Genomic DNA, 17,708 nt, shown 5'->3' on the forward strand with positions numbered 1-17,708 from the left:
AGTCTCACTCTTTTCCCAGGTTAGAGTGCAGTGGCATGATCTCAGCTCACTGCAACCTCTGCCTCCCTGGTTCAAGTGATTCTTTTGCCTCAGTCTCCCTAGTAGCGGATTACAGGCACCCACCACCACACCCAGCTAATTTTTGTATTTTTAGTAGAGACAGGGTTTTACCATGTTGGCCAGGCTGGTCTCGAACTCCTGACCTCAAGTGATCTGCCCGTCTCGGCCTCCTAAAGTGCTGGGATTACAAGCATGAGCCGTTCTGCCCAACCAAGTGCTGCATACTTTCAAATGGCCAGATCTCTACCAGATCTTGTGTGAACTCAGGGCAAGATCTCACTTACCACTAAGGGGATGACCCAGAGCCATTCACGAAGCATCCACCTCCATGATCCAAATAGCTCCCACCAGGCCCCATCTCCAACATTGGAGATTACAATTCAACATGACATTTTCACAGGGACAAATATCCAAACCGTATCAGGCATTGCAGCAATGAAGAGTATGGAGTTGGCTTTTCAGCATGGCTTTGACTGGGAAAAGGAGGATCCCCACCACCCCCCAAAAAAGAGGAGTGGGATTTCATTACTAACCCCTGGCAACTGCCCACATCAGATTTCAGTTGATTCTCTAATGATTTGATTGCAGTCAACAACTTAGCGGTCCTAGAAGCATTACCTCTCAATCCTGCCAGACGTTTTGCAGTACACATCTTATTCTACCCTCTCAGTAACCCTGTGAAGAGGATGCTTTGTCTCCATTGACTAGATGTTGGTGCTGAGATCCAGAGGCTGAAGAATTTGCTCAAGATCACACAGCTAATGAGTGGGTCGGTGAAACTGTAACCCTGGCATGCAAAACTTTAGATCTTTGCCTTTTTCTGCCCTGTGCTTTCCACATTGGGTCTGATGTGCTAGACCAGCAACATGATGTCTTCTTTTTGGAGCAGCCATTTTGCTGGGAGATTTTTTACTAGGGAGAGTACAGCATGCTGGGTCAGCCCTGATTTCTGTGTATGATTTCTACCAGTGGAGAAACGCCAAGAGAGTGATCATGATGCACTAAGAGCCCTGCTAAGTGCCTCACATAAATTATTAGCAAGTGATAACCTCACAGCACCCCTTGACGCAGTACTGTTATCATCCCCCTTTTGTAGCTTAAGACACTTAGAGACACTGAGGCTCAGAGAGGGTAGGTGGTTTGCCCAAAGTTACACAGCGCAGCGTTCATTTGCTAATTGCACATACCCTTAATGTGAAGGCTTACTGTTCTTTGTTTTTAGAACTGGGAGCGGAGTGCATAAATAATTTAGTGCTAAGTCCTGCAACAGAGAAAAGGACATTATTGGAAAAGATGAGTGAAGTCAGAATGAAGTCTGGAGTTCAATAATAATGTATTAATGTTGGTTTCTTAGTTATGACAAATATACCATGGTAATGTAAAATGGTAGCCTTAGAGGTATATATATAGGCACCATCTTTGCAACTTTTCTTTAACTCTAAAAATTATTCCAAAATAAAAAGTTTATTTTTCAATTAATTTATTCTTTTGAGATGGAGTCCAGCCCTATCATCCAGCCTGGAGAGCAATGGCATGATCTCGGCTCACCACAGCCTCTGCCTCCCAGGTTCAAGTGATTCTCCTGCCTCAGCCTCCCAAGTAGCTGGGATTACAGGTGCCCACCACTATGCCCGGCCAATTTTTATATATTCAGTAGAGATGGGGGTTTCACCATGTTGGCCAGACTGGTCTCGAACTCCTGACCTCAGGTAATCCACTCGCTTTGGCTTCCCAAAGCGCTGGGATTACAGGCGTGAGCCACCGCGCCTGGCCAAAAGTTTATTTGTAAAAAGATATTTAGTTTGCACTTCTCCCTTTTTCAGCCAGGGGAAACTAAGGCTGAGACTGGGGAAATTAATAGCCAAGTAGCTATAAGCTACTCCTGACTCAGCACCCTCAGGCCTTCACCTGAAGCTCGAGCTTCCTGGGTGCCTGTTGGTGTGATCTGAGTGACCTTCTAGAACGTGGCATGAGGTAAGTGTATGCACGATGCTTCCATGGAATGTGTCAGAAACTTTTCTCGACATGGGACATGGCATTTTGAAAAATCAGCTCATAGGTCTGACCTTTGGATCAGTGACCACATGAGTGTCTCCATCAGTTTTGTCATGTAGTCATCACTCTCAGTCAGCCACAGCACAGGGAGCCAGTCTGAGGGACGTGCCATGCACTCATGCGTTTTCATGCCATGCCTCATTAGCTAGGAGACAGTGGGAGCAAGTTGGGAAAAATGTCGCTGCCAGCAGGGCCTGGCCTCAGTTTGAAGAGGAAGGGATTTAGGGGTTAGGGCTTGAGTACACTCCAAAACAATTTCTCATCCAAGCTCCAATCCAAGAGGTTGTGTGGTCTGGGAGGTGGAGACACCATGCAAAAAACTCCCCGCTTCACCAGGAGGGCTGCTCTGTGATGAGGCTGATGGGGCCAGGAAGCGGGTTAGTTTACACTCCTCCCATTTTACAGATGGGAGCTGAGTTAGAGAGAGGGGAAAGAACAGCCAATGTGCGGCCAGTGCTCATTTTGTATTTGTACTTTTGTTGCTCTGTAGCTGGTGTTTAAGTTGGGTTCTAAATTCCTGCTGATTGACGTCTTTTTTCACTTCTACATTGCAGAACAGAATTGGTGGGTGACATTTCATAGGCAGCCCCCTAACGCTCAGTCTGTCTCAGACACCCTGCTGGACTGCCTGTGCCTACTAGGAGTGGAGAAAACAAATAATGACAATAATAATGATGTTAGGAACCCCCATGAATTAAGTACTTGCTATTTGTCCAACCCTGCCTTTGGTACTTCGAAAGCATGTCTCATTTAATTCTCCCAACAACTCTGTGGGGAAGATATTCTTATTTGCCCCATTTTACAGGTAAGTACATGAAAGCCCAGAAAGTTTAAGTAACTTGCTCAAGGCCAGGCATGATGGCTCATGCTTGTAATCCCAGCACTTTGGGAGGCCGAGGCGGGCGGATCATCTGATGTCAGGAGTTCGAGACCAGCCTGACCAACACGGTGAAACCCTTTCTCTACTAAAACTACAAAAATTAGCCAGGCATGGTGGCACATGCCTGTAATCTCAGCTACTCAGGAGGCTGAGGCAGGAGAATCGCTTGAACCCAGGAGGCGGAGGTTGCAGTGAGCCGAGGTCGTGTCACTGCACTCCAGCCTGGATGACAGAGCGAGACTCCATCTCAAAAAAAAAAAAGAAACGGAGTCTTGCTCTGTCGCCCAGGCTGGAGTGCAGTGGTGTAATCTCAGCTCAGTGCAGTCTCTGCCTCATGGGTTCGAGTGATTCTCCTGCCTCAGCCTTCAGCCTCCCAAGTTGCTGTGACCACAGGTGCGCGCTACCAGGCCAGGCTAATTTTTTGTATAGACAGGGTTTTTCCATGTTGCCCAGGCTGGTCTTGAACTCCTGAGCTCAAACAATCTGCCTGCGTCAGCCTCCCAAAGTTCTAGGATTACAGGTGTGAGCCACCGCACCTGGCCAACGTCCACCTTTCATATTATATTTCCACAATTAAAGCCCTATCTTGTCAGTCTATCTGGGTGGAGACCCTTACCTCTTTTGGGGGAAAACACCAACACCTCATGGAGCTGGCAGTAAAGAGGAAGGATCTTGAACTTTAGGGCTAGAGAGACCTGGTATCAAATCCCAGCTCTATTGCTGTTAATCAGCTATGTGACCCAGACAAGTCACGTGACATCTCCATGCCTCAAGCGCAGTAATAACTGACATGCCAGGAATACTATCTACCCCGTACAGCTGCGGCTGCGAGGATTCCATGAGTAATGCATAGTCCAAGGTGCCACATAGTAGGCTTGAAATTCAGACAAATTCCTTACAAGTGGGAGGAAGCCAGCTGGGAAATCAGACAGACCTGGATTTGAATCCCAGACTAGCTCCTTTGCTCTGTGACCTTCAGCAAGTCGCGGCATCTCTCTGGCCCATTATTGTCTCATCCATAAAATGAGAACCTAATAATGGGTGTTTTGCAGGGCTCTGGGGCTGCGGGCAGGATTGGTGATAAAACACGCTGAGGGCCTGCTTTGGAGGGGGCTCTCATCTGGGATTGCAGTCAGGGATCAGTGTCCTTCTCATAATTATGCATTTTCCCCTCTCTCCTTTGTCTCCCCTGCTCTTTCCCCGCTGCTGCGCAGGTTTGCGGAGGCCAGTGTTGACTGTTCCACAATGGCTTGGAGGGGAGGACAGTGGCAGGGAGCAGAGCGGTGCCCAGGAGCCACCAATCCATGGCAGTCAGGCAGCCTTCTAGCCTCCTGCTGCCCGAGAGTCAGCTGACCTTGATCTTAGTTCAGGGGAGCAGAGAGCAGTCTGGCTTCTCTGACCTTATCCAGCCATCAGCACCTCCGGTGCTCAGAAACTCCCCTTCTGGGGAGAAGTGGTTAAGTGAGAGGGCTGGAGTCACAGAGGCCCTAAGTTTGAAGTGTAGCTTTAGTACTTACCTGCTGAGGAAATGAACTGCTTCATCCTCAGTTGCCTTACCTGTAAAATGGGTGGTAAGAATTCCTGCCTCCTGAGATCATTTCGCAGTTTAAATCAGTTCACGCCTGTAAAATATTTCCCACACTCCTGACACATACAAAGTGCTCAGTGAATGTTGGCTATCAAGAATTTGGGTCAAAGAAGGTCAAAATCAACGAGTCGATTCATTACAAATGTGCTAAACTGTGCTTCTTGTTAAGTAGGGCTGGGGGATCTTGTTAAGATGAGCATTCTGTTCATCAGGGCTGAAGTGGGGCCCAAGACTCTGCATTTCCAACCAGTTCCTGGGTGAGGCCGATGCTGCTGGCGTTCAGACCACAAGTAGAACAGCCCAGGGTTGAAACCGCTCCCTCCCTCTCTCCCTACCTCCCTTCTTCCCTTCTTCCCTTCCTCCCTCCCTTCCTTCCTTCCTTCCTTCCTTCCAGACAGGGTCCAGAGTGCAGTGGCATGATCACAGCTCATCTCAGTCTCCACCTCCTGGTCTCAAGCAATCTTCCCACCTCACCCTCCCGAGCAGCTGGGACCACAGGCGTGCATCACTACACTCAGCAAATTTTTGTATTTTCTGTAAAGATGGGGTTTCGCCATGTTGCCAGGCTGGTCTCTAACTCCTGGGCTCAAGCGATCAGACTGCCTCAGCCTCCCAAAGTGCTGGGATTACAGGCATGAGTCACAGAGCCCAGCAAAACCCATTTTCAAACAGTGACCTGTTAAGGCTTGGTTCTGATGAGCTAATTCCTGAAAATCGGTATATTCGGGGTAAATCCAGGAGAAGGGGAGTGGAGAGGAGCTGGTATGATTGAGTAGCTGCTCGGTGTTGGCATTGTTGAAAGAATTATCTCCTGGAATGTTGACAGCCTCCCTGAGGGATATTACCATTTCCATTGTACAGATGGGGAACCAAGACTCAGATGTTAAGTGACTTGCTCAAGCGGGACTGGGGGAGGGCTTGGTCTCTCTGCCTCCAATCCCATCACGGTCCTCTACCTTGGAAGCAATGGCAGGAGCCTGAGAACACAGCCGAGAGGATCCTAGGCAAGCCATCTCCTCTCTCGAGACCACAGCTTCCCTGTTAGCAAAATGGGTGGCCTGGGTGTAAATGACCTCCAAGCTCCCTCCCACCCTCCTGTTGGAAGAGTTTGTGCTATCTGCTCTTACTCAGCATTCATCTGGCTGTGTCCCCACTCGCTTCCTAATTTGGTGCTGACGTTCTGGTTGCAGACATATCAGTTTCACCCTGTCATGTCAGTAACACCAGCAGAACTGCTGGACGCAGTCATCTTCCCAACAGCAGACGAAACGGTGTAGCAGTGACCAGAATAAACTCAGCACTTGGGCCAGACAGAACATTCTCCCATACCCGGAGATGAGCCTTTCAGCATCCGCAGGTACAAAATGTCACTTGCATCAACTCAAAGTCACATGGAATCCAGTTTCACCTGGAGCCCAGTCTTGGAGAGGCAGGAAGAGGGGCCTACATTGCTAAGACAGGCTCATGTGCACCTGCTGAGATCATACACCAGAGGCTAGACCTAGGCAGGATTCCTAACTGGGTTCAGATCCAGCTCTGCCACTCCCTGGTGTATGACCTTTGGCAAGTTATTTAATTTCCCCAGGCCTCAGTTTCCTTGTCTCTAAAATGAAGCCAATGGCAGTAGTTGTCTTGTGGGGTTGTGGTAAGAATTAAATGAGTTTATACACAAAAAGCTCTCAGAACAGCGCCTGGCACGTGATAAGCACTCGTTGCATGCAAGTCATCCCATAAAAGTGAAATCCATCACGTTTATCTGTTTTGCTTATTGTTGGATACCCAGTACCTAGAATGATGCTTTATAGTGGTAAATATGAATATTTGTATAATGATTAAATCAGGGGGTTCTAGTGTATGTGCTGCCAAAGTGAGCACTAAATCAGCAAGGTTCCAGAGTGGTAGTTTTCAAACTGTGTTCCAAGGAACCCTAGGTTGCATCCCACTGTATGGTGGGATGGAGGGAGTGCAAAGAAAGACGAAAAAGCATCATTCTGCTCTTTACTCCTGCCCAGAGCCTCGCTGATTTATATGCTTTGTATGTTTATTTACATGCTTTACATGCCACCGAACCATGGCAGTCAGGCAGCCTTCTAGCCTCCTGCTTACATGCAGAGAGCAGTCTGGCTTCTCTGACCTTGTCCAGCCGTCAGCATCTCTAGTACTGAGAGGAACAGGTTGGAGACACTATTTTAGATAGAATGGCAGCGAGAAGGCCTCTTCTGAGGAGATGACATTTGAGTAGCAACCTGAGGAAAGTGAGAGGCAGAGTCTTCCAGGTAAAGGGATTAGCAAGTGCAAAGGCCCTGGAACAGGAAAGTGCTTTGTGTGTGTTGGGGACAGCAAAACCGAGGCTTAAATCAGACAATGTGTGTACATTTTTTGAGACTGTGCTTGAGACACATTGGCTGTGACTATCACTGGTGTCATTTTATCTTCATGATGAGAAGGGCAAGTCCCATTAGATTCACATTTTATTTTATTTTGAGACAGAGTCTCGCTCTGTCGCCCAGGCTGGAGTGCAGTGGGGTGATCTCTGGTTCACAGCAGCCTTGACCTCCTGGGCTTAAGGAGGGCTCAAGCGATCCCCCGGCCTCAGGCTTCTGAGTAGCTGCGACTATAGGCATGGGCCACCGTGCCTGGCTAATTTTTGTAGAGACAAGGTCTCCCCATGTTTCACAGGCTGGGATTTTATGTTACATTAAAAATCATATTTATTGATGTAGAATTTCACTATAATAAAATTAATCCTTGTCTAGTGTACAGGTGGATACTTTTTTTTTTTTTTGATCACTCTGTCACCCAGGCTGGAGTGCAGTAGTGTGATTATGACTCACTGCAGCCTCTGTTCCCTGGGATCAGGCGATCCTCCCACTTCAACCTCCCAAGTATCTGGGACTACAGGTGTGCACCACCACACTTGGATAATTTTTGTATTTTTAGTAGAGGCAGGGTTTTGCCATGTTGCCCAGGCTGGTCTTGAACTCCTGACCTCAAGTGATCCACCCACCTTGGCCTCCCAAAATGCTGAGATTACAGGCGTGAGCCACCGTGCCCAGCCAGTGATTTAAATTTTAAAGGACTGATTTGCCATTATTTTCGTGAAATCAAATTTATTTTACTTTCCAAAAATAATCATAGAAATTATTCTCCAACAGATAGGAATATGAAATGGAGTTGTTTCCTCCTTTTGTGATTGTGATACTTCCACTCTCTCCTGAAAGAAGTGTTTCTCCCCACAAAATGTTTGTCATTTAGATGGACATTGGAGAGTTAGGTAAATAACAGATTACAGTTCCTGTCATCGTAGATCTTATAATCTAATAAACTTTTTGTCAGATATCTTGAAATCTTAATGCTTATAGGACCATAGAGACAGGGTTTCACCATATTGCCCACACTGCTCTTGAACTCCTGGGCTCAAGTGATCTGCCCACCTTGGCCTCCAACATGCTAGGATTATAGGCGTGAGCTACCATGCCTGGCCTGCAGGTGGATAAGATTTGACAAAGGCATCCACTTGTTTAAGTCCCACCATAATTATAATATAGACCATTTCCATCACCACAAAAAAATCTCTCACGCCTGCTTATAGCCAAACTCTTACCAATAGCCTTTGGCAATCACTGATATAATTCGTCTCAAGTTTTGGAATTATACAGTGTGCAATATTTTGTGTCTACTTTCTTTCACAAGGCGTGATGCTTTTGAGATTCATCTGTGCTGCTGTATGTACAGTAATGTGGCCATTTTTACAGCTGAATAATATTCCATTGCATGAATGTACCACATATTGTTTATTATTTATTTGTGTATTTATTTTTGAGACAGAGTCTCGTTCTGTCACCCAGGCTGGAGTGCAGTGGTGCGATCTCGGCTCACTGCGACCTCTGCCTCCTGGGTTCAAGCGATTCTCCTGCCTTAGCCTCCCGAGTAGCTGGGATTACAGGCGTGTACCACCACGTCCAGCTAATTTTTGTACTTTTAATAGAGACGGGGTTTTGCCATGTTGCTCAGGCTGCTCTCGAACTTCTGACCTCAAGTGATATGCCCATCTTGGCCTCCCAAAATGCTGGGATTACAGGCGTGAGCCACAGCGCCTGGCCGCACATATTGTTTATTTCTTTACCAGTTGAACGACATCTGGATGTCTCCAGTTGGAGGTTATTATAAAGCTGCCACAAACGTGTGTACATGCCTTTGTGTGGACATATGTTTTCATTTCTCTTGGGTAAATACCTAGAAATAAGACTGCTGGGTCACTTTTTTTTGAGACAAGGTCTTTCTCTCTTGCCTAGGCTGGGGTGCAGTGGCATGATCATAGCTCACTGCAGCCTTGACCTCCTGGGCTCCAGTGATCCTATTGCCTCAAATTCCCAAGTAGCTGGGACTATAGGTGTGTGCTACCACGTCCAGCTAATTTTGTTTATTTTGAGACGAGGTCTTACCATGTTGCCCAGGCTGGTCTTTGAACTTTTGGCCTCCCAAAGTGCTGGGATTACAGGTGTGAGCCATCGCACCCAGCCATATGTTTAACTTGATAAGAAATCACTGAATTGTTTTCCACAGTGGCTGCACCATTTTTGCATCCCCATGAGCAATATACGAGAACTCTAATTGCTCCACATCCTCACCAACACTCAGTATGTCAGGTTTATTTAGTTATTTATTTATAGTTTAGCCATCCTAGTAGATGTGTATGGTATCTCATTGTGGTCTAATTTTCATTTCCTTAATGAATAATTAAGGTTTAGCATCTTTTCAAATGCTTATTCTCCTGTCTTCTTTTTGTTTTTTGAAACGGAGTCTTGCCCTGTCCTGGAGCGCAGTGGTGCAGTCTCAGTTCACTACAACCTCTACCTCCCGGGTTCAAGTGATTCTCCTGCCTCAGCCTCTTGAGTAGCTTGGACTACAGGCATGTACCACCACGACTGGCTAATTTTTGTATTTTTAGTAAAGACGGGGTTTCACCATGTTGGCCAGGCTGGTCTTGAATTCCTGACCTCAAGTGATCCGCCTGCCTTTGGCCTCCCAAAGTGCTGGGATTACAAGCGTGAGCCACCACGCCCGGCCAGGGTGTTGGTTTTCTTATTGAGTTGTAGGAATTCCTTTTATATCCCAGATGCGAATTCTTTTTCCAATATATGTTTTGCAAATAGTTCCTTTCAGTCTATAGCTGGTCTTTGTATGGTCTTTTTTTTTTTTTTTTCTCGAGACGGAGTCTTGCTCAGTCGCCCAGGCTGGAGTGCAATGGCGCGATCTCGGCTCACTGCAGGCTCCGCCTCCCGGGTTCACGCCATTCTCCTGCCTCAGCCTCCCGAGTAGCTGGGACTACAAGCACCCGCCACCACGCCCGGCTAATTTTTTTTGTATTTTTAGTAGAGACGGGGTTTCACCGTGTTAGCCAGGACGATCTCGATCTCCTGACCTCGTGATCCGCCCATCTTAGCCTCCCAAAGTGCTGGGATTACAGGCGTGAACCACCGCGCCCGGCTTATGGTCTTAAAGAGTGTCTTTTGAAGAAGTAAAGTTTTATATTTTTAGTAAGTCCAATTTATCCATGTTTTTCTTTTGTGGTTCACGTATTTGTGTATTTTCTATTCTTGGAAATTTTACCTAACCCAAGGTTAGTTACAAAATTATACCCCCTATTTATTTTCTTCCAAAGGTTTTGTAGTTTTAGGTTTTACATTTAGGTCAATGATTCATTTGAGTTAATTTGTACATATGGCGTGAAGTAGAGTCAATATTTTTTTAATATTAATTGTGTAATTGTTCCAGCAGCATTTGTTGAAAGATCTGCTTCACAGATAGCAAGACAGAAAGGTGCAAGACTTCGTCCCCCGCCTCTGTGTCAAATAGAATATCTAGTGCAGTGTGAGTGTTGTCAGAGAAGGGGTGAAGGTGCAAACTGGGGGAGTCCTCATGTGAGAAATGGGGCTCTAAATGGCCTACCAAGGTGGCCCTCATGGTAGCCAACAGCGAGCACCTCCGTGATGAAACCACCAACCCGAAAACAGCACGCAGGTCGGCCAGGGAGGTGCCTGGTGGGGTGTTTCTCTTGGTGTTCTCAGAGATTTGTACTCCTCTTGCGTAAGCTGCAGATTAGGAAAGCATTAGGTAACGACAGGGTGGCCGGAGCGTATTACACACCGGCCTGGCTTGGGGCCACGGAATGTGGCCTGCGGGGATGGCCTTGCCTAGCAAGTCAAATATAGCTTGATCCAGGAGAGAGATGGCTTCCTCTCTCCCTGCTGCAGCCAGAATGATATTCCGCTGGTCTCTGGCACCAGGAAAACAGGGTCTCTGGAGCCTCCTTGGTGTCGCACAGCCTCCGGAGGTAGAAGTGGGGAGGGAAGCCAGGAGTCCTTGGGAGCCGCATCATTCATTCCACTTTAAGGAGTCAGACTACAGAGCCTTTGCCCAGGGGAAAGTTAGCAACAAATAGCAATTCATTGCTAACCTCCTGCCTCCTCCAGTTCCAACATGGCCCGACCCCCACTAAGGACCACTTAGAGTTGATCTTCACCACCCCAAACCAGGGACCAAGGAGACTGCTCCTTTCACATAGCACTGCCATGGCTCAGATATTTGTCCAGCATCTACTTATTTTATTTTATTTATTTATTTTTTTTGAGACACAGTCTCATTCTGTCACCCACACTGGAGTGCAGTCGCATGATCTCTGCACACTGCAACCTCCGCTGCCCTGGTTCAAGCGATTCTCATGCCTCAGCCTCCTGAGTAGTTGGGACTACAGTTGCGCGCCACCACGCCTGGCTAACTTTTTTGTATTTTTAGTGGAGATGGGGTTTCGCCATGTTGTTTTTGCTTACCACGAGACCAGGCTGGTCTCAAACTCCTGGCCTCAAGTGATCCCCCTGCCTTGGCCTCCCAAAGTGCTGGAATTACAGGTATGAGCCACCACGCCCAGCCAAGCATCTACTTAAAAGATCACAAATTTTCTCATTCACAGGACTTGGGCTTAATCCCTGCCCTCAACGTGCCTACACTCACACAGTGGAAGATGTGACTTCAACATGTATTGAATGTGGAAAGAAGCTAACCTTCACCGAGGGCCTCTGCTGCCTCAGACACTGTCCACAGTCTTCAGATATTGTCGGATTTATTCTCACAGCAACTCTGCAAGAGTGGGATGGGCATCCTCATTCCTTATGTGGAAATTGGAACTCAGAGAGGTTAAGTAACTTACCCATAGTTGCACAGCTAGTAAGTGTTGCAGCCACTATGTGAACGCAAGACTGTCAGGCTCCAGAGCCTGTGAATTTTACTAACCACATTGCCATACTATGTGTCAAGAGCTCTTCTGGAGGCTGTGGGAGGCTGTGCTGGGGGCTGCGACAGAGGGGAATGAGGGACAGTGTCTAACCGCAGTCCTTTGCTGTCTGATGAAGGGCAAACAGAAACAACCATGATACTGAGATCATGGGAACAACCTGAGCAGAAGCTCAGTGGTGGGAATAATAATAATAACAGTAAGCCCAGCTATTGGCGTTTACCTAGCCTTGTTGTGTTTTGCACACGTTAACTCATTTAATCCTTTCGACAGCCTTAGGACATACTTTTCTGTTGGTGTTGTAGTTGTTGAGATGGAGTCTTGCTCCGTTGCCCAGGCTGGAATGCAGTGGCACGATCTTGGCTCACTGCAACCTCCATCTCCTGGGTTCAGGTGATTCTTCTGCCTCACCCTCCCAAGTAGTTGGGACAACAGGTGTGCGCCACCACGCCCGGCTATTTTTTTTTGTATTTTTAGTAGAGATGGGATTTCACCGTGTTGGCCAGGCTGGTTTTGAACTTCTGACCTCAGGTGATCTGCCCGGCTCAGCCTCCCAAAGTGCTGGGATTATAGGCTTGGACCACTGTGCCCGGCCAGACGTAGATACTTTTATGATCTTTATTCTACTGAGGCCTAGAAATGGAGGCCCAGAGAGGTTAAATAACTTGCCCACGGTCACACAGCTGGTAAGTGATAGAGCCAGGTGTTAAACTCAGGCTCTAGAGGGGGAGGCAGAGTCAGCCAGGGGCGTTGTGTTTTTGGGGGCAGCATAGTGGAGTGTCAGGTTGGAAGGGTAGGTTGGGAAGGGCTGAAAGAGAGTTTACATGCCAGGCTGAGGGGTCTGGCCCTTGTCCTGTGGCCTTTGTGAGCACCGGGAGGTTTTGGAGTAGGGGAGTGATGTTAGCAGACCTGTGTTTAGGCAGATGACTCTGGTAGGAGGGTTGGGGATCCAGGAGGGGAGGCAAGGTTGTAGCTGAGAGAAGGGCTGGAAGGCCACTGTCCTGATCCCAGAGGGCACTGGTGGTGGCAGCCTGCACCAGGGCTGGGCAGTGGGAGAGAAGACTCGCTAGCCCCAGGCTCCGGCCTTGCCTGCAGTGGGTACTGTCAGTGCTACATGAGCCGTGACACATGCTCAAATCACAAAGAAGGCCAGTACCACGTTAAAAGCTGTGGTGTGGGGTGTCAAATGGTGCTGGAATCCTGAAGATTCAGGACTCTTTGGTCTGGGCCTAGCTGAAGGCAGCTCCAGGGCAGAGGACGGAGCTGGGCCCTGCCTGGGGGTAAGGGCAGATGGAAGGAGGAAGCCAACCAAGAAGCCTGTGTAGAAGGGGGAAGAGCATGGCCAGAGGCTGGGAAGCTGAATCTGCAAGGACCCCATGTATGTGGGGTCTTCTCTAGGATTTTTCTGGGAAAGGATGATAGCAGGGATGCTATGGATGCTAGGTTGAAAAGGAAATTTGGGGCTGGGCGCGTTGGCTCACGCCTGTAATCCCAGCACTTGGGGAGGCTGAGGCGGGTGGATCACGAGGTCAGGAGATGGAGACCATCCCAGCTAACACAGTGAAACCCTGTCTCTACTAAAAAAAAAAAACAAACACACAGAAAATTAGCCGGGTGTGGTGGCGGGCGTCTGTAGTCCCAGCTGCTCAGGAGACTGAGGCAGGAGAATCACTTGAACCCAGGAGGTGGAGGTTACAGTGAGCTGAGATGGCGCCACTGCACTCCAGCTGGGGTGACAGAGCGAGACTCTGTCTCAAAAAAAAAAAAAAAAAAAAGAAAAGCAAATTTGGCCAAAAAGTTGAGGCCCGCTGTTTCCAGAGGAGGAGACTTACCTCCCTGGAGCACTGCCTGCTTTTGATAGCTTCAAACACCACTCTGGACTCTCAAATGTCTGTCTTCAGCCCAGATCTTATTCTCCAACTCCAGGCCTGTAAATCCGATACTACCTGGGTGAGTATCAGCTCCAACTGGATGACAACTGTCTCAGCTCAGACTCAAAGAGCCTAAAGCTGAAAGTATCATCATCAAACTGAAAGCTTCTCGGGTTACCAGCTGTCTTAGCTTGATGAGACATAGCCATTGGCCCAGTTAGTTGGTCAACACAAAAACCTGGGAGTAATTTTAAACTCTTCTTTTTCCATTATTTCTCACATGCAATGTTCATTAAGTCCTGTTTCTGCTAGTTACCTCTGATGTTGACCATTCAACAAGTATTTATTGGTCCCTCAACAAATATTTATGAGACCCCACTATGTGCCAGGTAATGAGCATATAGCAGTGAATAAAACTGGCAAAAATTCCTGTCCTAAGGTGCTGATATTCCAGTGGCATGTTGGAAACCACTGATCTGTTCAATGAAACCTTTGTCATTGCAAGCCACTGGGAACTGGAGGCTGTTTGTTACTGCAGCATAACCTAGTCCATTCTGACGAATACACCAGTAAGCAGTGCACCACAGCAGTGAGGAAAGAGCTGGAAAAGGAATGTATAGTGTTCTGTGGGAACACACAGGAGGGGAGGAGAGAACAGACATTAACCCTATAGGAGAGGTCTCTGAATGATTTCTACTTTTCATCTGCATCCCCCTTGCCTTTCCCTGGCTCAGGCTTTCCTAACGTCTTGCCTGGGCTTTGTCAATATTCTTGTCTTTGAACTTCTCCCTATGAGCTATTCTCTACCCTTCTAAAATGTAAATCTGATTGTGCCACTCCCTTGCTAAATCTGATAATGATACCCTGTTGCCCATAAGAAGAAAGTTAGACTCTTTAGCTTGGCATACTTTGTTCCTCATGATGTAGTCTCTGCAAACTTCCCAACTTCCCGAATACTGGGCCTAACTCTGATAACTTGGGATTCTTTGACCATCTGTTTGTTCTTCTCTCCATGCCTTTGTACACCCTGTTCCCTCTACATGGAATATATTCTCCTTTTCCTCCTGGAAAACTCCTACTCATGTTCCAAGGTTCTGATCAAATGTCCTCTCCACCTTGAAGCCTTCCCTGATATCTCCAGGCAGAGTTAAGGCCCTCGTCCACTGTGTGCCTGAAGATTCCTGCTCATCTTTATTTCCCAGTGCTTTGCACACTGAAATTGCTGCTAGCCCGATAGTCCTTGGAGAGCAGGGACTGGCCTCTGTGCCTGACACCTAGAGTAGAGGGGGTGTCTGACACATAATAGGTGTTCCAATCATGTGTGTTGAATGAATGAATGAGTGATTCAGTGACAAAGAACACTATATTCTACCCACTGGGCAGGATGAGGGCTGGGGAAGGGAGACACTCCACACTCAGGTGGTGAGGTGACTGTGGGTGAGGTTAATACAGAGATAAAGGCAGTCATGGTGAGAAGCCGTGCAGTATTAGAGGAAAAGCACTGCACTCAGATTCTCAGGTTATGGCTCTTTCTCTTCCCAGCTGCATGCCCTTGGGCAAGTCACTTTCCTTGATCCTTTTAAAAAAATTGTGGTAAAAAATGGGCATAACATAAAATTTACCATCTTAACCTTTTTTTTTTCTTTTTTGAGACGGAGTCTCATTCTGTTGCCCAGGCTGGAGTGCAGTGGCACGATCTCAGCTCACTGCAACTTCTGCCTCCAGGGTTCAAGCAATTCTCCTGCCTCACTCTCCTGAGTAGCTGGCATTGCAGGTGACTGCCACTGTGACAGGCTAATTTTTGTATTTTTAGTAGAGATGGGGTTTCACCATGTTGGCCAGGGTGGCCTCAAACTCCTGACCTCAGGTGATATGCCCATCTTGGCCTCCCAAAATGCTGGGATTACAGGCATGAGCCACCATGCCCAGCCCCATCTTAACCATTTTAAAATGTACAATTTAGTGGTGTTAGATACATTCCCATTATTGTGCAATCATCACCACCATCCATCTCCAGAACTTTTCTCATCTTCCCAGATGGAAACTCTATACCTGTTAAACATAAACTTCCCATTTCCCCTCCCTCTTTCCCTGGACAACTACCATTTTACTTTCTGTCTCCATGAATTTGACTGCTCCAGAAGCCGCATATAACTGAATCATACAGTATCTGTCTTTTTGTGATTGGCTTTTTCACTTAGCATCATGTTCTCAAGGTTCATGCATATTGTAGCATGTGTCAGAATCTCCTTCCTTTTTAAGCCTGAATAATATTCCATGGTATGAATATACTGCCATATTTTGGTTACCCATCCCTGGGCACTTGAGTCGCTTCCACATTTTGGCTATTGTGAACAATACTGCTATGAACATGGATGTACAAATATCTGTTCGAGTCTCTGCTTTCAGTTCTTTTACATATACCCCCAGAAGTGGAATTGCTGGATCATATAGTCATTTTATGTTCACTTTTCTGAGAAACTGACGTTACTGATTTCCACAGTGGCTGCACCATTTAAATTCCCACAAGCAGTGCACAGGGTTCCAGTTTCTACTTCACAGTCTTTTTTTTTTTTGAGACAGGGTCTCACTCTATTGCCAAGGCTGGAGTGCAGTGGCATGATCATGGCTCACTGCAGCCTTGACGTCCTGGACTCAAGGGATTCTCCCACCTTAGTCTCCTGAAGAGCAGGGACTACAGGTGCACACCACCACACCTGGCTAATTTTTGTATTTTTTTTGTAGAGATGGGGTTTCATCATGTTGCTCAGGCTCGTACTTCACTGTCTTGATGGCCTTATCTTCCTGCTGGGGATGCTGTGAGCTATGTGCCTCCTGAGGTCCACAGGTTTTGAAGGTCAAATGAAACAACACTTGTAAAGCACTTGATGAATTACTGTTATTGTGCCAACATACAAATGAGGCTTGGTCCCCTGGGCAGCAGCTGGCACCTGTGGGAGTTTCCTCCTGCTAGCAGACACACCTTCTTCTGGTGACCTGGCATGGAGACTGCTTGCCTCCTGGTGATGATGGGTTCACTCCCCTTTCTATGGGAGAGGTGACCAGAGGAGAGCTTTCCATCTTGGGGCAGAGTAAATCTAGATGCTCCAGGCCAAGTTAAAGAACCCTCAACCTTGCTTAATTCAACAAACCTTGGGGGCACTGTGCCAGGCATGGGGTGTGGCTGTGACTAGTGCCCAGACCTTGCCTTCCAGAGGCTCTGTTTAGTGGCAGATGTAGCCCAGTTGTGATATAATATTACTATCCACCAAAGTTCACTGTTCCTCCCTTTAAACGGATGGCAGATCATGGCCATGTTCAACAAGGTATAGTCATTTAACTTGCTTTGAACAATGAAACATGAGGAGGATAAACGTGTATTACTTCTGGACAGAAGCCTTAAGGCCAGCACCAGGTTTAACACATTTCTTTTCTGTCTCTCATAACAGCCAGCAATGCCCTCAGAAACAGGCTGCACTGTTCAATTGGGCTCCAGAGTGACGATGGGTGAACAGAACAGCAGTCAACCTGTGGTGGACATGTAGGGTGAGTGAGAAAGAAACCTTTGTCATTGTAAGCCACTGGGAATTGGGGGCTGTTTGTTACTGCAGCATAACCTAGCCCATCCTGACTAATACACCAGTAAGCAGTGCACCATAGCAGTGAGGAAAGAGCTGGAATAGTAATGTATGTGTTCTGTGGGAACACAGAGGAGGGGAGGAGAAAAACAGAGATTAACCCCACAGGAGAGGTCTCTGATGGTTTCTACTTTTCTTTTTTCTTTTTTTTTTGAGATGGAGTCTTGCTCTGTCACCAAGGATGGAGTGCAGTGGCACGATCTTGGCTCACTGCAACCTCCGCCTCCTGGGTTTAAGCAATTCTCCTGCCACAGCCTCCCATGTAGCTGGGATTACAGGCGCCTGCCAACACACCCAGCTAATTTTTGTATTTTTAGTAGAG

At 47.3% G+C, this 17,708-nt stretch overlaps 2 annotated features.

Moving 5' to 3' along the window:
* Positions 5,401-5,695: a silencer, noted in NCBI's record as "tiled region #8664; K562 Repressive non-DNase unmatched - State 5:Enh". NCBI's record gives its function as "represses a minimal TATA promoter and a strong SV40 promoter by Sharpr-MPRA in K562 cells {active_cell/tissue: K562}" and the evidence as "EXISTENCE:reporter gene assay evidence [ECO:0000049][PMID:27701403]".
* Positions 13,607-13,807: a silencer, noted in NCBI's record as "peak7163 fragment used in MPRA reporter construct". NCBI's record gives its function as "represses an SCP1 promoter by STARR-seq MPRAs in K562 erythroleukemia cells {active_cell/tissue: K562}" and the evidence as "EXISTENCE:reporter gene assay evidence [ECO:0000049][PMID:32103011]".

This window comes from Homo sapiens, chromosome 8, assembly GCF_000001405.40.
Source record: "Homo sapiens chromosome 8, GRCh38.p14 Primary Assembly".
In the NCBI taxonomy this organism is placed as follows: domain Eukaryota; kingdom Metazoa; phylum Chordata; class Mammalia; order Primates; family Hominidae; genus Homo; species Homo sapiens.